Here is a 22,105-nt window from a genome sequence, read left to right on the forward strand (position 1 = left end):
AAGCAACATCAAGTGAGAACTATGAGCACACATGTCGCCAAAGAAGAACAGAACATGCTTCCCACAATCTAATCTCATGGATTGGCTTTAGTCATAAGATGTTCATTCACTTTCCTGAAGAAGTTAGCCATCAAGAGGAGAGATGCTTTCTTTAGTTTGTCTTATCATCTTTTGAAAAATTCAAAAGATTAAGTAATATAGTTTCTTGGCTGAAGGGTATATGACCCTATAGAGCAATTCTAAGGTACTGGCTGAGCAAACACTTGAATTCTAAAGTACTGGCTAAGTTTTTAATATCTTTAATTTTTTAAAATTCTTTATGCAAAAGTAACATACCTTCATTCTAGAAAGTTTAGAAATCCATAATCTCATTGCAAAATGACATTAATATAACATTTGGAGCATATAATTCCAGTACTTAAAAAAATTATATTTACAATCTTTTTCACATAATATATTGTGAATATCTTTCCATTTTGTTAAATATTCTCATATAATACACACCCTAATGGCACCCCGTATGATGTACAATTATCTGACCACCTATTTTATTGTAATTTAGGTTTTTAAATGTATGTATATATTATATTCAATGCTATAATGAATATCATTGTAGCTAAGTATTTGAGTGCATCTTTAATTATTTCCTTTGAATGTATTTTCTAGAAGTAATATTGAAAATATGTGTATTGTTAGGGCTTTGAATACAGTTTGTCCTAATGACTGGGCATTTTTTTTTCCTCCCCATAGTTCAGAGTAATATAGGGTTTATTAAAATAGTATTTCTCCCAGAGAGAAATACTTCAGTAGAATTCTTAGAAACATGGGAATTTTAATATTTTTTGTATTATTTCACTGATAACTTCTAAAAATTAATGTTTGGAATCATCTGAACTATCTCCTGATAACTGAGACTTGCAATGAATTTCAACCAAGATGCATTCCAGTACCAAGATTATTTATTTACATGATGTCATGACTGTACAAAGGAAAGGTTTGCAAAGTAGCTCAGAATGGGGTCCATAAGTGTGGATCTAAGAGGTTTTATATTTTTTCCTTGAGAAACAGTGTTAAAGGTAACATAAAGGTAACAAATTATATCAACTAGTCAACAAATATTTAATGGGTACCTACAAGGGAGAGTCACTATGCTAGGCCATGTTTGGTACACAAAGTATTAGAAAACTTTCCTGTCTTTAAGAAAGATAAAATGTATAATAGCTGGAGAAAAAAGAGTTACATAGAAGAAAATAACAGATAAACAAGACAATAAACAAATACCTAAGAAGCAAAATAATGCTGGCGTTCAAAAGATGCAGAAATCACCACAGGCTGACAGCTGTGGAGGGCTTTATGAGAAAGGTGGAGATTGGAGCTGGCCCTTGACACATGGGTGGCATTTTTAACAGACAGAAGGGAAGAAACTTTTCAGGAAAAGGAAACAAAATGAACCAAGGTGTAAGGAGAATCTGTGAGCAAAGTTTATTTCAATGCATCTAAAATATTTTGATTGTGACAAAAAATGAATTACTAAAAATGACATGTGCTCAGAGTGGCCAAACCAAAATGAGTCCCTAAGGTAAAGTTCAACAAACCTGAAAACAGCCACACCGATACACTGATATACTACTGCTTGACCTAAGATAACACTCAAGTAACTTGTGTCATCTCATCCAGGACTTTCTTTCTTTTAATACTTTCCTACCACTGGTGGTCGCACTCTGCAAGTGGCCTGTGCAATTATCCGAGTGTGCTATATGACTGCTATGGGCCTTATGCTCACATAATGTCCAAGTTCAGGAGTTACACACAGGGCTTAGAGGACTTCGGGCTGCGTGTGAGTGAACATGATGCCTAAGAGTTAGCTGGAAAATTTCATAAGCAATATGTTGGTGGCCATCTTGCTAAATTTCATTTCAGTGTATTGTCATGTAAGGTTCTCATGCTTCATGAAAATTATAGAAGTTCTTTTAATTCTCAGGGATTAGTGAGTATACAGATTTTTTAAAAATAGGGTAAATTGGCTCCTTGAAAAAAAGATGATGTTGCAAAAATTTTTGTTAATTTTCTTTATAGAAATGCAACTAATACTATAGATTCAATTCACTGGTTTTGGTCTTGGAATCCCCAAGTATGAATTGAGTTATGATAATCTACCTTCTTGGCCTTCTCTTCATGGCTCTCTGATATGAAAAGTTTCTATATCAAAATTCCATGGAATTATAAGGGTTCACTACAAATCTCCATTCACACATCCAGGCAAGCTCTAAAGACAAATCTGCACTTAAATTTTGAGAGCTGCAGGAATTCAACTTCTACTGCTCTATAAAAATGAGATTTTTTTCATCCTAGCTCCTGGGTATCTGATTTTTCCTATCCATTTTTTATTATAAAATATATGAAGTAGAGATGCCTCAGACATATTACTTTTATTGAACATTTTAAATTCAGTGTTCTCTCTCATCATGAAAAAATATAAACTCTTGCCAATCAAATAACTTCTATGTGGCAAATTTCTGTAAAAGCTCTCAGGAAAAGTTGATGATTCTTTGTTTTACTTGTAGTACTAAATGCTGACTTCAAAGAAAAGAGAGTCTTTGAGAAAATGACTGTGTAGGAAAAATCTTCCGAGGCTGAAGAATTTAGTAAGATGAAGGCATCCTTATGTAGCTGGCAGAAGTAACACAATGGAGACTAGTAGGAAAAACAGTTTTGTAATTATCTAAATCCTACATGTCAAAAAAAAAAAACACCCACACACAAAAAAGCAAAACATACATAAAAACACATAAATAATCTGATAGAATTGGAGTCAGAGTTCCTGCTGTTAAGGGAGTTCTATCTAAGGAGGGCATTAGGGAAAATGTTAAGGGGTGTAAAGTAAATATGATAAAAAACAAAGTCAATTAGTGCTGTCTGTATAAAACTTCTAAGTGCAGTCCCTGAGTCTGTGTCCTGAAGGGTACATGGGATTTTCCTTAGGGAGCAAAGACAAGAATATAAAAACCCTAAAGGAATAGTCAGGGACAATCAATAAATAAACCAGAGGTATGTGTTCGAGAGGTAGGTTCAATCCAGATCACAGAACACACTAAACATTAGCTTAAAGAGGCTGAAATTTATCCTGTAAGCAATGCAGATCCATTGAAGATTTTTGAGTAAGGAAATGATGTGAAAGATATATTAAATATACTTTCTTTTCTTCTCTTTTTTTAAAAATATTATTTCTATCTCTCTCCTATCTTGCCTGTTATGTTCTTTCTTCCCTTTTTCCTTTTATGGTTTCTTCTCCAGCTTTCCCCCCAGCTCATGCCTTACAATAACCAGTGGCACCCACATGTATTTTCTGAAAATATTCAGAAGTTGAAAAGGTTGTTAATTTCTTTTTCCTGATTTTCCAGTTACATCAGCATGTTAATTCTTATGTAGTTTTTTTGCATCCTCTCCATTTTTTAATTTTACTTATTTATTTTTAATTTTTTTTAGAGACAGGGTCTTGCTTTGTTGCTCAGGCTGAAGTGTAATGGTGTGATCACAGATCACTGACACCTTGAATTCCTGGGCGGAAGTGATCCTCCCATCTGAGTCTCCCGAGTAGCTTGGACAACAGGCACATGTCACCATGCCCAGCTAATTTTTGTATTTTTTGTAAAGATAGGGTTTCACTACATTGCCCAGGCTGGTCTCCAATTCCTAGGCTCAAGTGATCCTCCCACCTCAGCCTCCTAAAGGGTTGGGATCACAGGCATGAGCCCCTATGCCTGGCCCTCTTTTCCACTTTTTAGCAACCGTTTATTGAATACTGTATGAAGCAAGATGCTGCAAAGTACTGTGAGTCCTCTTCAAAGGAGCTCAACCATCATCATAGGTTCAACTTATCAGGTTTGGTCTTGGAAGGCCTAAGGCCTATACGTAATATCACCCAACACATGGGTTCATCCTGCCACAAATCTCAGGCCTCAGGAGTCCGCAGATATTTAGAGTTACCTCGTCAAACATTCACATGTATCACAAGATAATGTTGGACAAGTCAATTCCCTCTACAGCGAGGATTTCAGAGCATTCCCTTGATCCCACATGCCAAGGATTGGGATGAACCTCCCGGGGTCTGAAAGATGCTAGCCCAGCAAATTTTTCTGCATACAGAAAAATTCAAGGAGCTGTCATTTTGAGAATTACCAAAAATAGCTGTAAATCATTACCTAGACAATTTGAAACAAGAAATCCTTCCTCAGCAATACAACTGTTGCTGTTCAAGCTTGAAAGATCATCCACTATTTGATGCTCGTGAAAAATGTGCAAGTAAAACTAGGTCTTCATTGAAAAAAAAAAAAAACAGAAAAAGGAAACTTTAGTAATAGGTTAAACATAGCTCTTGTTTGGTATACAAACATGAACTAGATAAGGAGCAGGAAAATGGGATTATGTATTTAAGGTTGAGTTGAAGAAAAGCGGTGTCTAGTTATCTAATTAAAAAATGAGTAATTTACCTTAACAGCAAAACTACAACTTCTAATGACCCAAGAGGTGAATAGAATTTTGGATATTCTATGATTTCCATAAACTTCCCTGTTATGCTAAGAATACTCTTCTCTGCCAATGTCAAAAGTTTTCACACTCGTATTTAATTGAGTTTATTTGCTACTAATATTAACGCACTTGCCAGTCATTTTTAGCACATTTATCTTACAGGAAGGGACTCATACACACATTGAACCAGTCAGTCAAGGAATTACTGGAACAGCATGCTCGTTAAGAGCTGTTTACTTTGGTGATAATATCATATATTAAAGCCAAATAGGCATGGAAGATAAAATATTATTTCCTCATATTTGAGGCAAGAGACATAAGAATTTAGGTCAGGGGGAGGTGAAATAGGGAAATTATTATCTTTTAGATTCATAACTGGAAGATACACGGGACTTGCCTAGAAAAGCTGCTTTTTCATTGTCCTTCCTTTTGGGGCAGAACGCTTTCAGTAGTCAGCAATCATGTGGTTGAGTTTGAAACTGACCAGCCAGGAGGTTGTGGGAAGCTGTTCATTGACAGCATCAAGCATATGGGATGGATGCTTACCAAGATTGTTGTAGAATATTTAAACATGGAAGATTGGCTTAAACAACTTTTAGGTTCCTTCTAGTCTTAAGGTTCTATGATTTCAAGGCCTGTTTCTCTGTATTGTAAATACTATTTGGTTGCAGAAACTACCCAAAATCCTTTTTGAGCCCCCAGATTAGGCTTAAATGACATATAGCTGGATCCTGTTGCCACTTACCAATGCAGAACATTCCTGGAATCATCTGAAAATCAAACGAGGAAGAGCTAAGAGAGTATTTCCTCTTTCCTGCAGCAACTACCCAATGTGACACAAATGGAAAAGTAAATAAATATTAATAGTCTCTGAAGACAGACTTTCATTCATCTATATTGACTATACTTAAATGAAAATAAATACGATCCTTTTTTATTTCTCTCCTTCAGCTTTCTTCTCTCTCTACTGCATGTTTCCCATTGCTTGTGACTATGGTACTCTTGGACTAAATGTTATTCTAGTTCCTCCTCCCAAATAAAGATGTACTTTATCTCCAGTGATGTACCACAGACGTTGACCATAATGGAATTACAAAAGCAGAAAATCCACCTGGTTAATGCTTTGAAGGACTTACATTAACTAAATTATTCTAGGAATGTCTGATAAAATTTGCTTCCCAATTGCTTTCCAAGAAAGAAAGGAACAACTATTGTTTGAGTCTCTTGTTGATCATGTCCTACTAAAAATTATAATGAAAGTTAATGAAAAAAAGATTTGTTTTAGAGCAAAGTACACAGAAATCTTTGAATTTCATCAGTTGAATAATTTCCTTGTGCTACTGTGTCATTATTATTTATATACATGATTTCAATTTGTTACCATGCAAATTTTAATTCCAATTGAAAATGAATATTCTCTTAGACCATCATGGGAACTTTAAAAAAATGTTTGTGAAAAGAGGATACAAACAGTGCTTATTCTATGGACCATAGAAAAATGCCCCCTTAACGACAGCTGCAGCAATTCATGGACCTCTATAGCTATGACACATAATTTAGAGAGTGAAACAATGCTATACAGCAATTGAAGACCAAATGTGAAGGCAAAAACTGATTAATTTCTAAAGAGATAGTATGCCCCTTTTAGAGAAAAGGATTAAACTTCTAAAATAATGAACTTGTTATTCATGAAAAGAAATAAATTCTAATAATGGGCTAGCCTGTTAGAACCTGCTGCTCTTATTCAGGACAAAAACATGCACAACAAATGCTACAACACAACCTTTGAATAGAAAGCATTGTGATAAAAACATGTTTTTTCATTAACGAATAAAATATGCCCTTTCCCATTAAAGGTTTGCATGTTTTAATTTAACAGAAGAAGTAGAAGTTCTATGGTGAATATCAAGCATAATAATTGAGTTTGGTGAAAAGGAGGCCTGAAACCTACTGTCAGAATGGGGCAAAATAGGTTGAAGGCTGAGTGTTTCAAACTCTTGCCCAATAATATAAGTAGTAAAAATGCAAGTAGAAATGAAAAGCTTTACTGCTTATTCTTTGTCTATACTTGAACACTTGAGGAAACCCACTCATAAAAAAGCATGGGCAATAAAATAAAGATAGGCATAGTGTAAAAACAATTATAATTAAAGAATAAAAATTAACCAGTACTTAAGGCTTCATTTCCCCCAGCTAAGCTGTAACCTGAAATTCTTTCTGTATAAATTCATTCCTTTAGCTCTAGAATGATGTTTTAGGTTCAAGACCTCCTTACAAAAATGCACTTACCCTCAGGAGGGGCAAATCCTTATATTATTAGCAAAAACATGTCAGCAGAGATTATAATCATGTTTTCAATCCTAGAACTGGGACTTCCCGGAGGAGGGAAAGGGAATGTCTTAAGGGGAGAGAGGAGCCAAAAACAAACTGTGCCTACTTCACTAATTTGCCAAGACCTTGCTCTGATGGACAGACCTGAAAAAACCATGAATGGAGCCAATGCAAATTCCCTAAGAAAACGGCATTTAGTGTACAGCATGGGAATCATACATTATCCGCCTCTCTCTACTAGATTGTAAGACCTTGCAGGGAACAAACAGTGGCTTAAATGTCTTTGAATCCCTGGTAACTGACATACAATGGGTTTCCAATAAACGTGTATTTTTTTTTCATTCAGGGAATATATATATTATGAAGCCTTGAGAACTCAAGTTACCGAGCTTAGTCTCATTTTTAAAACTGCCAAGAAGGCAGGGTGATAATTATGCATTTGAAGTGGGAACGAGATAATTTCACTTGTCACATTTAGCTTTGTCCAGATTGCTTCCTATAAGGGGTATACAGGTTTATACCTGGGCAAGGCATGTTGATAAATATGTCCTCATGCGTAGTGGTCATCTCCTGGAGATCTATTGTAAGCTCAAGGAATGTGGGTCAGTTATGGACCTGATGATAAATAACAACAACAATAGTAATAGTAACTAACACTGAGTAGCTCTTACTATATACCCAGGCACCATTCTAGGCATTGTATAAATATTAACTCAATTCCTTTACACGAAAACCCCATACAGTAGGTATAACTATTATTGCCCAGTTTCACAAAGGAGAAAACAAAGGCCCAAAGAGTTTAAGTAATCGGCCCAAGGCCACAAAGCCAATAAGTGGTAAAGCTACCTGAACTCCAGCAGTCTCACTCTAGCATCCTCATCTTAACCCCTAAACTATGCCATTGTAAGACCCTTGGCAGAAGGATTTTGAGGGGTCCACTTTGGCCAAGTCTCTTCGGGATGACACTTTTATAAATAAAATTGGTGTGTCCTCCCAAAACTTGTCCTTTAAGTAAGAGCTGTCCAGGACAGAGTCGGGTTTGGACTCATGGTGAGCCACTTCATGAGTGTTCTGTGCTTGAATGGATTATCGGTTCTATTCCTCTGGAAGAAGCCAAGCAGTTTTGAAGACAGGTGAATACAGAGAGACTGGCCCCAATTTCCCACACCTGGCATAAAGTTCAGGCAAGTAAGGGTAGAGAATACTTTTTGATCTTCACTGGTTCTATGTAAAACCTTTCTATCTGCGCACTGGAGATTCTGATGCCTTCTAGGGGAATTTCCAGGCCACTGCAAGCCTCAACAAGTCCTTACTAGGAACTCCTTTGAATACATTTACAAACAGAGATGACAGCAGGAATGTAAATAAACTCTAATTAAAGATTTGCTCTTTGTGGATAGCACCTCCTTTATGTTATTTACCATCCCTATTAGATACGATCTGGTAAGAATGGTAATAGGTAGTGTGATGACTTCTAGTCAGTTTAAATCTAGTTATGAAGAATAAGAAGTACACTGTGCATAACCGAATGATTTAGGTAAATTTTTAAATTGAGGTTGCTGGCTTATTTCCATTTTTTCATGTACAAAATTTTATATGCCCCAAAGCTTTGAATTATTTATCTAAGTCCAAGTTCATCTGTGCCATGGCATATGCTACTTACCATAAGAAATCAGGAGTTGAAGAGTATTCAGAAGTGCAAGTGTGCATGTGCATGCACACGTGCGCGCACACACACACTCACACACAAATTTCCAAATGCGACCCCATCTGTGTACATTGACTGGCCACATCTGTATACATCTATATATATACACGGTGGGCACTGATTCCGAGACTGCTTAAAGTTGTGATTCAGTAGATCTTTTTTTTTTTTTTTTTTGGTAGTATTACAGCTAGAACTAAGACCTAAAGTCAAGTTTTGTGGTTTATCTTTCTCTATACAGCATGGCCACTTTTGTAAAAATTAGATGATTAGCCAAAAATGAAATAAAGCAAAAACAAACCCCCAAACCCACCCATCTGCAGGAAGGAAGGCAGAAACTGCTCAAGGGCAGAGAAAAGCGCAGCTTGGCCTTTTCAAATAAATCACAAAACACGTTTGAGTTTAAAAATAGTGTTGATAACATAACCTCACTTAGGCTGGGCGTGGTGGCTCACACCTGTAATCTCAGCACTTTGGGAGGCCATGGAGGGTGGATGGCTTCCACTCATAAATTGGAGACCAGCCTCGGCAACATGGCAATACCTCATCTCTACAAAAAATACAAAAATTACCCGGGTGTGCTGGTGAACACCTATAGTCCCAGCTACTCGGGAGGCTGAGGTTGAGGATCCCTTGAGCCTGGGAGGCAGACGTTGTAATGAGCCGAGACTGTGCCACTGCAATCCAGCCTGGGCCAGAGCCAGACCTTGTCTCGAAAAACAAAACAAAAACCTCACTTAAAAAGCCAAGTGAAAGAAGGTTTTAAAATATTTCCATTATTTTAGGCCAGGTGCTGTGGCTCATGCCTGTAATCCCAGCACTTTGGGAGGCCAAGGCGGGCAGATCACTTGAGGTCAGGATTTCGAGAGCGGCCTGGCCAGCATAGTGAAACTCTGTCTCTACGAAAAATAATAAAATTAGCTGGGCATGGTGGTGTGTGCTGTAATTCCACTTACTTGGGAGGCTGAGGCAGGAGAATCACTTGAACCCGGAAGGCAGAGGTTGCAGTGAGCCAAGATCGTGCCACTGCACTCCAGCCTGGGTGACAGAGTGAGACTCTGTCTCAAAAAAAAAAAAAAAAAAAAAAAAAATCCATTGTTTTAAAACTATATAATTGGCTCAAGAGTATTTTTTGCAAGTGAGCAGTACAGTTTAAATTTGGGCTGAGTAATTTTAGGTAGGAGTCTGTCTTACTCTTCAGAATAATGATTTCCTAGAACAAAACAAATCTCTCTTTTGTGAGGCCAGCGATAGACTATCTTTATTGATAACTGTGGACTTTAGGTTCAAATATAGCATCTTTTGGGAAACCTTACTACCAAAATTACCTTTCCTGCTGTCGGGGAAAAATAGTGAAAGACTCTGAAATCCACTCCCTGTGCCCACCACCAAGAGATTACCAAGTGTGTTACCGCAGCACACCCTCGCTAGGTTTTCTTGGCCTTTTATCATCATTCAGCTATTTTACAACTCTGTAAGTTGTAGGAAATGATTAATAATGCAAATAATTTCTGTCCATAGAAATGCAAATCAGTTGTGTCTGGTAGAATGCAATTGATCATTGCCCTTCATATTGACTTGTTTTGCATCTATTTGTAAATACATTTCAGCATTATTTTTTTTTTGAGACACAGTCTTACTCTGTTGCCCAAGCTGGAGTACAGTGGCACTATCTTGGTTCACTGCAACCTCTGCCTCCCGGGTTCAAGCGATTCTCCTGCCTCAGCCTCCTGAGTAACTGGGATTACAGGCGCCACCACACCCGGCTAATTTTTGTATTTTTAATAGAGATGGGGTTTCGCCATGCTGGCCAGGCTGGTCTCAAACTCCTTACCTCAGGTGATCTGCACACCTCAGCCTCTCAAAGTGCTGGGATTACAGGCATGAGCCACTGTGCCTGGCCTATTTCAGCATTCTTTATTTGCCTATATATGTGTGATTCTTTGAATTTTCCTTTGAACTGTTTGTAATGTCTTACTGGCCTGTCATTCATTAATGAGTTAAATACATCTTTGACTCATGTTCGTTTTATATATATATGAGAGTCATGACCTTTCTTTTTACAAAGTTATTTTTTAACACTACCATTTCTTACCCTTCACATGTTACCTAGAGTTTTTTTTTTAAATCAAGAATACTTGAGGATTTACTTCTAAAAATGGAATTTTAACATGTTTCGTATAGTGGGGTTGGAATGCCTCATATTTTCACAAGATTAATTCTACTAGCTTCCTCTTTTCAGTATCATCACGCACTTTATCTTCCCTCTGGGGACTGTAATAAATATTTCTGCCATAAAAATGCAAATAGCATTAGACTAAGAATTGTAATGCCCAGGAGGCTTAAGAAGATTACATTTAGATAAGATCATACTGTTACCAATTATGAGATTTTTTTCCATCATTACTCCACTCTATAGAACTGTTTCTTATTCTTTGTTTCCAATAGGTTTTAAAAATTATTTCTGACTACTGGCCTTTTAAAAATGATTTCTGTCCAACAGGGATATTTACTTGACTAGATCCTACAAGTGAACTGAGCTGGTGTATGGGCTTAACTTGGCTGCAGATTTGCATGTATGCAATGGCAATAAAGTAAGGCACTCTGATTTTAAGACATTTATTTCAATATATCTAAGACTTCATTGCATTAGAATATCAAATTGGCTCCTTTTCTCCTTTATAACAGCTATAGTTTGTTCAGCTGCAAATATAGAGCAAAAGATGATCAACAAGTATTACAACAAAAATACTAGATTTTTGCTGTAATTCCTGTCTATAGACAGACTTTTCTATAATACTATATGGGAAACTATCTCAATACACAGCCAAGTAATTTGAAATTTCTTTCAAGCCAAATTGCTACTAGGTCACTATGCTCAGTTACTAAGACAGTAGCTACATAGTCATTCTACCTACTCCATCTTTGTTCTTCATTTGATCTCAGTCTTGTTTTCATAACTTTCCTTTGCACTTGTCTTTTTATACTTAAACTTTCCCAAGGTCAGAAAGCAAATCAATGACAGAATAGGGAACAGAACTCCCAAGAGATTCCTAAAATATTAGAAGTTCCATCTTAGAACAGTGATGTCATCAGGATTTTTTTTTTTTTTTTGCTTCCCACAAACACCTAAAATAACTTCTTATAATAGAATCTCTTGGAGGGAAAAGGGGATTACATCGATTTCAGTTTCTTAGTACCTATTTAATTTTAATAATTTTAGAAAGAGGCAGCAAAAATAGAATTAACAATATATAACTTCTAGTAAGCCATTTAAACTCTTAATACAACTATTAGGCAAGAACCTGGGAAACTGCGTGAAAGCAAAAAACGAGTAGAACTAATTTTGTAAGCAACTTATCTGTCAAGTAGTGTTTGAGAATGAAGGAAGGTGTTGTAGGGTTTTATTCACTGTCTTCTAGGATTTAGAAGTTGTTATAATTAGTTGGGGCCAGGTAAATTCTATTAGAAATGCTGTAAGGATTATTAAGTACTTTTCACCCGTTAAGATTCATTTGCTCAATGTGTTTGCATAGTTTCTGGTTGTTTTAAAGGAAAAAAATTTCTTGTCACAGGCTACTATGCATTCTCTTACAAAGATTTTTTTAAAGATCCAGTCTAGTTCACGTTTCCTGCTGTTTCCCTTCTTTCTTGACAGCACTGTCTGATTGTCACTCAGTATTCTATACAGGGCACAGGGTATTACAAAAGTTGACATGTTTAAGATAAATGAGCCCCTGATTGTAGTACAAGAAGTCAGTTACTAGGGCATGTTGTCTTCCATTGTTTTTTGTTGTTAATTCATTCAGATGCTTCTTTTCATATCGGGAAATTGTTTGTTTCTAGGTGAATCTTGTAAAACACAGTCTTCATTATTGAGTATGCACATATGAAAAATGAAGGTGGAATACTGGTTTATTAAAAAGTTACGCTTGTTTAGAAACTCTATCAGAATACAGAGCCATTCAGAAATCTGTGACTATCTGTGTATGGCCAGAAACAACAGCCACAGCTATTGAAAGAATTGGTTTTCTTCAATACTCATCCATCCAAAAGCTATTGCTTTTGAAATCAGTCAGTTTAATGACTGGTCTTGAAAAGAAATATATTTATTCTGTAAAATTCCTGTATAACCCACCATGTTTGTTTTTCTGTTTTTGTTTGGGTTTTTTTTTTAAGCTATTGATTTTTTTCTAACTGAGATAACATTCACGTAACATAAAATTCACTATTTTTAACCATTCTAGTGTACATTTCAGTGGTTTCAGTATATTCAAAATGTTGTACAGTCATTACCACCATCTAATTCCACAGCATTTTCACCACTCCAAAAAGAAATCTCATGCTCACTAGGCAGTCACTTCTCATTCCCCCTTAATTGCTGATACCTGCCAATCACCAACCTATTTTATCTTTATGGATTTGTCTATTCTGGGGATTTCACATAAAAGGAATAATACAATATGTGGCCTTTTGTGTCTAGGTTTCACTTAGCACAGCATTTTCAAGGTTTATCCAAATTATAACGTGTATCAGTATTTCATTCTTTTTTATGGCTGGATAATAGTCCATTGTATAGACATACCATAGTTTATCCATTCATCAAGTGATGGACATTTGAGTTGTCTCCACTTTTTGGCTACTATGAATAATGCTTCTATGAACATTCATGTACAAGATTTTGTGTAGACATGTTTTCAATTCACTTGTGTATATACTGAGGGGTAGAATTGCTGGGTCATATGGCAACTCCATATTAAAATTTTTGACAGGGTTGGGCATGGTGGTTCACGCCTGTAATCCCAGCACTTTGGGAGGCCAAGATGGGTGGATCACCTGAGGTCAGGAGTTCGACCTTCAGGAGTTCAGCCTTCAACATGGTGAAACCCCGTCTCTACTAAAAATACAAAAATTAGCCGGGCATGGTGGTAGATGCCTATAATCCCAGCTACTCAGAAGGCTGAGGCAGGAGAATGGCGTGAACCTGGGAGGCGGGGCTTGCAGTGAGTGGAGATTGCGCCACTGCACTCCAGCCTGGAAGACAGAGCAAGACTCTGTCTCAAAAAAAAAAAATTTTTTTGGGGAAAATGCCAGACTGTTTTCCACAGCAGCAGTAGCATTTTACATTTCTACCAGCAATGTATGAAGGTTCCAACTTTTCCATATCATCCCCAAGACTTGTTATTGTTTGTCTTTCTGATCATAGCCATGGATGTAAAGTGGTATCACAATATCGTTTTGATTTGCATCTCCCTAATGACTAATGATGTTGAATGTCTTTTTATGTGCTTATTGGCCATTTGCATACCTTCTTTGGGTGGCTCAAGACCAGTCATTCAAATCTTTTACTGATTATTAAACTGGGTTATTTTTTGTTTTGTTGTTGAGTTGTAAGAGTTCTTTATACATTCTGGATACCAGAACTTTTTCAAATATATGATTTGAAAGTATTTACTCCCATTCTGTGCATTGTCTTTTCAGTTTCTTGATAGCATCCTTTGATGCACAAAAGTTTTTCATTTTGATGATGTCCAATTTATTTGTTTTATTTGTTGCTTGTGCTTTTGGTGTCATATCTAAGAAACCATTGCTTAATCCAAAGTCATGAAGATCTACACCTATGTTTCTTTATAAGAGTTTTATAATTTTAGCTCTATATTTAGGTTTTTGATCCATTTTGGTTAATTTTTGTTAATTTTGGCCACAAATGTATAAGTTTATTTCTGAACTCTCTCTCCCATTGATTTATATGCCTATCCTTTGGCCAGTACCACACTGTTTTAATTACTATAGATTTGAGGTAAGCTTTGAAATTGGAAAGTGTGAGTTCTCCAACTTTGCTGTTCTTCAAGGTTGTTTTGGCTATTTGAGGTCCTTTGCTTTCCCACCTGAATTTTAGGTTCAGCTGGTCCATTTCTGCAAAAAGGGCAGCTAGAATTTTGATAGATATCACAGTGAATCTATAGGTCAGTTTGGAGAGTATTGTCATTTTAATAATATTAAGCCTTCTAATTAATGCATGAAGTCAAAATGTCTTTCCCTTTACTTAGGTATTCTTTAATTTTTTTTTAACAATGTTTCAGGGTTTTCAGTGTATATGCCCTGCATTTGGTTAAGTTTATTTCTCTCTATTTTATTCTTTTTTGATGCTACTGTAAATGAGATTTTCTTAATTTCATTTTTGGATTGTTCATTGCCAGTGTATAAAAATATAATTGATTTTTGAAATGTTGATCTTGTATCTTACAACTTGTTTATCAGCTGTAATAGTTTTTTGGTGAATTCTTAAGAGTTTTCTATAATCTAAGATTATATCATTTGTGAATAAATATAGGCTTACTTCTTCCTTTCTAATCTGAATGCTCTTTACTTATTTTTCTAGCCTAATTGCCCTGGCTAGAACTTCCAGCACCATATTGAATAGAAGGGGTGAGAGCAGACATCCTTGTCTGATTCCTGATCATGGGAGGAAGTATTTGGTTTTTCACCATTAAGTATGATGTTAACAGGGGACTTTTCATGGATGACCTTTATTACATTGAGAAGTTCCTTTCTAACCTTTATTACATTGAGGAAGCTCCTTTTTATTCCTGGTGTGTTAAGTTGAATTGAATTAAGTTATAAGTTTGAACTAAAAGACAAATAGGCTACAGGATTTTTTGCCTCTGTTCAGCCTATGGAAATACTATGATCCTGTGTTCTCTTTAATTTTAATGGCTACTAGGTTCTTATCTGGGAAACAATAAAATCACTGCCTTTCAGAAATTCTGAGAGCTCACTGAGCCAGCTAAGTTACATGCCTGATAGTGTTGCCCTGATATGGTTTGGATCTGTGTCCCCATCCAAATCTCATGTCAAACTGTAATCCCCAGTGTTGGAGGTGGGGCCTGGTGGGAGGCGATTGGATCATGGGGGCTGTTTCTCAGGAATGGTTTAGCACCATTCCCCTTGGCACTGCCCTCAGGATAGTGAGTTCTCAAGTGATCTGGTTGTTTAAAAGTGTGTGGAACCTCCCCTACCCTTGCTGCTGCTCCTGCCATGTCAGGGGTCTTGCTCCTGCTTTGTCTTCCGCCATGATTGGAAGCTTCCTGAGGCCTCCCCAGAAGCAGATGCTGCCATGCTTCCTGTACAGCCTGCAGAACCATGAGCCAATTAAACCTCCTTTCTTATAAGTTACCCAGTCTCAGGTATTTCTTTACAGCAGTGCAAGAACAGACTAATACATGCCCTTAGAGATGCAAAATTAAAAGGCAAGACACTTGATTCATGTTTACTTGTATGAAGTGCATAATGTTTATATTATATATAAAATATTTAATAGTATAACAAATATAATAATTTTTTCCATTATAATATGTGAGCTATCTTAAAGCTAAAATATATTTTGTCTTGGTTTTTGAAACCATAATCTTCTCTATTTTTGTTCTACCTAAAGACTAGGAAAAGAGCTAAAAAGATGCCAAATTAGAATCCCATATTACAAAAAAATCTTTTATGAGTTAACAAATATTATAGCCCTTTTATATCCCTATATGTGTACTAATTTACTATTTTATTCCATTAAAATATTTACATTGCTAAGATGTAATGCAATCGTAGTCCCAATTATATTATTAAGGTTTTGAATGTCAACATCAACAGATCTTGTTTTCCTTACTATTTGAAATGGCTGTGGGTTTTTTTCCATCTTCTGGAATTATTATAAAGAGAGAGAGAGAGAGAGAGTGTGTGTGTGTGTGTGTGTGTGTGTGTGTGTGTGTGTGTGTATTTTAACCTTACGTGTCTTGTCACTAAAAATTTCCCTTGCAAGGGAGAATAAGGACTTAAATCACAGTTTATCTTCTACTGAATATAACTGTTTCAGGACAAATTGAAGTATGCTTCCAGCTATTACAAAATTGGCAAGACACAAATGAAATACCATGGAGACACGATTTGTGCACCAGAAGTCAGATATCTATCAGTAACCTCAGCTTTTCTCTTTCCATATAGCTTCCTTCTCCCCATGAACCCATTATATTAGCAGTGAAATTGGAAGGCCAGGTCTTCCAGACACAGAGATCTGACTCCAGGTTCCCAGCTATTCACAGATGGACCCAAAAATGTTATACTGAAAAGGAAGTATTCATGAGAAAATTTGCAAAGTGAGATATGCCTTGAATATTTGGGGAGTACTTTATAGTAAGAAAAAAGTCAAATATGAGTTATTCCTTCCCAAATTTATAGAACAAGTATTTCAAACCTGTTAGATTCATTTTTGCACTTTTACAGTGCCCCAATTTTGACCTAAATATATATGTTTTCTGGAAAAACATTCACTTTCTGGAAAGCATGTTCATGAAAAGTTAAATGAACAAATATTATATTTTGGAGACTCAACCTTACTTTCCCATTGGCTTCTATTTCACTTTTAGAGATGTCAGCTCTGATACCAACATTTTACCTCTCAGGTATTTTTATCCTTTCACCTCTCTGTGAAATAAAGGCCTATAAATAAATATCTAATTGTTCTGGGGAAACTCTTGAAAGGAACCCCACAGGAAATCCTTCCATGGGTGCCAAGATTATTTTAGAATGCCTCTGGTCCCAAAGTCTTCTTGTTTCCTAATCATCAGAAACAGTAATCCTGGGCAATTTTTTCCATTAAAAGAAAGTATATCTTACTGTGTGGAGAGAAAACACAGTCAAAACACTAACAATTTCCAGCCATGAACGTGAATTTGGCTTGCCCTTCTATTAGGAAATATGAGGTAGTAAATAAAGTAAAATCAACATTCTGTACACCTTCTATAGCACCTGTGGTTACTCAGTGCTAAGGGACTACCAGCAGAACTATGCCATGCTAACACAGGAGCACTGAAATAAGGATTGAGGATAGGCTCACACTAATTGTATCAAATTGGCAAGCTTTACATTTTGTTAATATTAGGAATATGTTGCACTCCTTTGGTGACAGGATTACCTATTCCTCCAGATCCTAATGTGACAAATTAAATGATAGAGGTTGCTGGTGCTTTTCATCAGCAGCAAAAATGATTTAGGGCTAGAGAGGGAAGTAAAGGATGGTAGATCCAGAAATTCCTCTTCCTAATAAAACCATAGATATCCATACCCCTCCAAAGATAGTCACTTCTAAATTATTTACTTTGTAGAATATCCAAAGTTTTTGCTTTTATTCTTTCTCTTTTTCTTCCCTTTGGAGCCATTTCACTAGTTGTTAATGGAAGAGAATCAATGCTAATTTCTGGTGACATTGAAATGTAGAGGACTTGGATAGTTTACCTATCCTTGTAAGAGCAGTCATACCTTCTAGGGTTATAGTAAAGATGGAGTGAAATAATGCAGAGGAAAGAACTTTATAAAATATAAAACAGCTAGGCCAGGCATGGTGGCTCACACCTGTAATCCCAGCACTTTGGGAGGGCAAGGTGGGCAGATCACCTGAGGTCAGGAGTTCGAGACCAGCCTGGCCAACATGGTGAAACCCCATCTCTACTAAAAATAAAAATTAGCCGGGTGTGGTAGTGGGCAACTGTAATCCCAGCTACTCGGGAGGCTGAGGCAGGAAAATCGCTTGAATCTGGGAGGCAGAGGTTGCAGTGAGCCGAGATTGCGCCACTGTGCAACAGAGTGAGACTCTGTCTCAAAAAATAATAATAAATAAATAAATCAGCTAACCTTTGGGGGTGAGAATTGTCTTTACTCTCTCACTTCCCTCCTTAGTTTAGATTCTGTGGTTATGATGATGATCAGTCCCTTGAACCCAGCCTCATCGCCCCTGCCCTCTCCAATCCTTTTTCCCCTCCCTCTCTTTTCTCTGTTCTTGGCACGATGTCAACCCTGGTTAGATCCAAGTCTTTCACAGTGCAACACCAACAAAAAGAGAATGGGCTTTAGTGTCTGACAGGTGAATGTAATTGTGGCTCTACCCTTCGTTCGTTTTGGGGAAGTCAACATTTTCAAGTCTCGGTTTCGCATCTGTGAAAGAAAATAATGATACTCCATGTAGTTGTTATGGAGATTAAATTCAATAATACTTGTAGCATGACAGCACAAGACCTGGCACATAGTAGGCATTCAGTAAGGGGTAACTGTTGTCATCAGTATTTATAATCCATGATAGTTTTTTTCTGTGCTAAAACCGAAAACTAATTTACAGATGTACATTTCCAAACATACATGCATGTTTTACCATATGAAGTATTTTAAAATCCTGATTTTATAGTCTAATTTAATAACTTTATTGTTTTTTAAATCTCCTGTTCGTTTCCTTAATACCTTAAAGATTGAAGAGCTTTCTTTTCTCTCCCTTTCTCTCTTTCTTTCTTTCTCTGTCTTTCTTTCTTTCTCTCCTTTCTTTCTCTCTCTCCCTTAAAATCCTGATTTTACAGTCAAATTTAATAACTTTATCGTTTTTAAAATCTCCTGTTCATTTCCTTAACATCTTAAAGATTGAAGAGCTTTCTTTTCTCTCTCTCTTTCTTCCTCTTTTTTTTTTTTTTTTTTTTTTCCAGACAAGAGTTTCGCTCTTGTTACCTAGGCTGGAGTGCAATGGCGCAATCTCAGCTCACTGCAAACTCTGCCTCCTGCGTCCAAGCGATTCTTCGGCCCCAATCTCCGGAGTATCTGGGACTATAGGCGCGTGCCACCACACCCAGCTAATTTTTGTATTTTAGTAGAGACAGGGTTTTACCGTGTTGGCCGGGCAGATCACTCCTGACTTCAGGTGATCCGCCTGCCTTGGCCTCCGAAAGTGCTGGGATTACAAGCATAAGCCACCGTACCCAGCCTGAAGAGCTTTCTAATGATACTTTTGGCTTATTCATAGAACATGAATAAAATCTAAAATAAATTTTAAAAAGAAGATGAAAACTGTAGCTTTAAATCTGTCCTTAATTTATAAAACATGACATATGATATATGAAAACATAAATACATGAATGAATGTATCCGGATTCCTTGGGAAACACTTTCATAATGAGACTATATGAATGATTCTAAAACCTGCCTTATACAGCTAGGTAGCTAAGGAACATTTTCCTCAAACCCCATTATATGGTTCCACAGATCTCAGCATTTACCCTCAGACTTAGACGCATCAGTCAAAATATTGACCATCTTTTAAAATAAGCTCCAAATTACAGGAGAAAAATCTGCCTTAACAAGTGCAGCTCAGGGCATTTAAATATTTCTCACAGTATTCTAAGGCCTCCATGTTATCCAGTGGATGATAATTGAATAAAATAATGAAACATTCCATATTCCCTCTTATTACCATTCATCACCCAACAGCTGTAAAATCACCAGCTGCTAGGAAAAAGAGAACTAAATTAGTCCTCTACAGCTGCAAAGAGAAAAAAGCTTAAGATCTCTTCACACAATTTCCGGGATTCCAGCAGGCTGGAGTCAAAGCACAGTTTTCCTTGCCACAAAACCCTCAGCCTTGTAAACATGTCAAACAGCACATAAGCTGTGATTTATTTTTGTCATTATTGGCAAAGAAGTGTATGAAGGAGAAGAGTAGAGGTAGCTGAGATAATACAATAGAATCATGACAGCAATGTAAGTAGTGTCTACCATATCCCGGGCACAGAGCATCAGACTTTTAAATCCTTACCATAACTACAAAAGGTAGATATTATCCTCATTTTATTAGAGAACTGAGGCTCAGTGAGACCAAGTAACTTAGTAAGTGCTGTGGTAAGTCAGATTTAGCTGTGTTTGGCTCCAATACCAGGGTCTTAATCATCACACAGTTCTGTCTTCCAGTAAAATAGACAGATGAAGGAAAACTGAACTGGTGAGACTAAGTGGAATGGATCTGGGGAGAAGGGGAAACATGGGGGGAAGGTGATGCTGTTTTAAAAGACACAGGAGGGGGCCGGGCATGGTGGCTCATGCCTGTAATCCCAGCACTTTGGAAGGCCGAGGCAAGCAGATCACTTGAGGTCAGGAGTTGGAGACCAGCCTGGCCTACAGGGCGAAACCCCATCTGAACTAAAAATACAAAAATTAGCCAGGCATGGTGGTGCATGCCTGTCATCCTAGCTCCTTGGGAGGCTGAGGCATGAGAATTGCTTGAACCCGGGAGGGGGAGGTTGCAGTGAGCCAAGATCACGCCACTGCACTCCAGCCTGGGTGACAGAGCAAGACTCCATTTCAAAAAAAAAAAAAAAAAAAAAGGAATGTATTAAGGTAAATGAGGCTCCTAGTTTGAATCTCTTTTCCTATTCTTTTCGATAGTTTAAGAAATAGGGTGCCATTTCCATTAACTTCCCTAATTTGCTATCATCAGCCATAAACAATTCTAGCCCATAAAATCAGGTTTCATTAATTACTCATTTTAGCAACAATATTAGCCACAGACGAACTGGCATAGTCTGTAAAGCAATGGTTTTCAAACTTTAGCAAGCATTAGAACACCTGGAGGGGTTGTTAAACATAGATTCTTAGGCCTCATCTCTAGAATTTCTGATTCAGTAGGTCTGGGGTAAGGTTTGAGAATGTGTATTTCTCACGAGTTGCCAGATGAGGCTGATGGTGCTGGTTCAGGGACCACATTCCACTGCTGCAAATAAAAACTGTGCTAAAAATTTAGATTTGTGTGCACATACCTATGATAAGCTGACCTGCAAAAGAACAGCATTTCTTAAGAAGCTACCTTCCATTCTGCAGGCACAATCAGATTTCAGTTCTTCTACAGCCGTGTACATAAAATAAATGGCGTCTAGAGACACACAAATGTGGGACAATTAATCTATGCCTATGTTCCTAATAAGGCAAAAGGCTATACTTTCAATGTGCAATATGCTCAGTGAAGCAATCATAGGAATTAAAACATCACATTCAGGCTGGGTGTGGTGGCTCACACCTGTAATCCCAGCACTTTGGGAGGCTGAGGCGGGTGGATCACCTGAGGTCAGGAGTTCGAGACCAGCCTGACCAACATGGAGAAACCCCATCTCTACTAAAAATACAAAATTGGCCAGGCGTAGTGGCACATGTCTATAGTCCCAGCTACTCTGGAGGCTGAGGCAGGAGAATCACTTGAACCAGGGAGGCAGAGGTTATGGTGAGCCAAGATCGTGCCATTGCACTCCAGCCTGGGCAACAAGAGCGAAACTCCATCTCAAAAAACAAAACAAAACAAAAACCACATTCAAAGGAGGCAACCATTTCCAAATTTAATACAAGCTCTTTTCTAATTCAGAAAAAAGTATAGATAAAAGTCAAATACACCCAAGCTTAGGGGTGGAAAAATCGAAAACCAGAATAATTCACATTTCCAACCGTGGCTGCTATTGGTCCAATTGCTTATGGGTTCTTTTTTCTTCTTTTTTCTTTTTTCTAAAGAGAATAGGGATAGCAAGAATTGTGATGGAACTGGATCCCTGGAAGTCAACATAGTCTTGGCCACTTAGGCTGTTTTTTACCCCCTACCTGGCCTTATCCACAGTTTTGGCTTGGCTTAGCTCCATTCAAACACATGCTTAGTAATGGCACTAGGGGCTGCTACCACTGCTGCACAAATTGAAATCA

The 22,105-nt window shown here is 37.2% G+C and overlaps 1 protein-coding gene and 1 long non-coding RNA gene across 5 annotated transcripts in view, besides 4 other annotated features; both read right to left on the bottom strand.

Moving 5' to 3' along the window:
* NTN4 (netrin 4) overlaps positions 1–22,105 on the bottom strand; it is a 133,349-nt gene that overhangs the window by 55,536 nt on the left and 55,708 nt on the right. The gene's annotated exons all lie outside the window — the stretch shown is intronic.
* LOC105369919 (uncharacterized) lies at positions 9–21,484 on the bottom strand. The gene is made up of 3 exons (XR_001749273.2): positions 11,481–21,484; positions 7,383–7,476; positions 9–5,353 (listed from the first exon to the last, which is right to left on the bottom strand). It is a non-coding gene; the product is annotated as an uncharacterized LOC105369919 (long non-coding RNA).
* Positions 18,187–18,266: an enhancer, noted in NCBI's record as "active region_6814". NCBI's record gives its function as "activates an Ori minimal core promoter by ATAC-STARR-seq in GM12878 lymphoblastoid cells {active_cell/tissue: GM12878}" and the evidence as "EXISTENCE:reporter gene assay evidence [ECO:0000049][PMID:35858748]".
* Positions 18,187–18,424: a biological region, named in NCBI's record as "ReSE screen-validated silencer GRCh37_chr12:96125327-96125544".
* Positions 18,207–18,424: a silencer, noted in NCBI's record as "fragment chr12:96125327-96125544 (GRCh37/hg19 assembly coordinates)". NCBI's record gives its function as "represses an EF-1alpha promoter that drives an FKBP-Casp9 reporter gene in an ReSE screen in K562 erythroleukemia cells {active_cell/tissue: K562}" and the evidence as "EXISTENCE:reporter gene assay evidence [ECO:0000049][PMID:32094911]".
* Positions 18,477–18,536: an enhancer, noted in NCBI's record as "active region_6815". NCBI's record gives its function as "activates an Ori minimal core promoter by ATAC-STARR-seq in GM12878 lymphoblastoid cells {active_cell/tissue: GM12878}" and the evidence as "EXISTENCE:reporter gene assay evidence [ECO:0000049][PMID:35858748]".

The sequence above is a fragment of the Homo sapiens genome, chromosome 12 (genome assembly GCF_000001405.40).
Source record: "Homo sapiens chromosome 12, GRCh38.p14 Primary Assembly".
Taxonomy (NCBI): domain Eukaryota; kingdom Metazoa; phylum Chordata; class Mammalia; order Primates; family Hominidae; genus Homo; species Homo sapiens.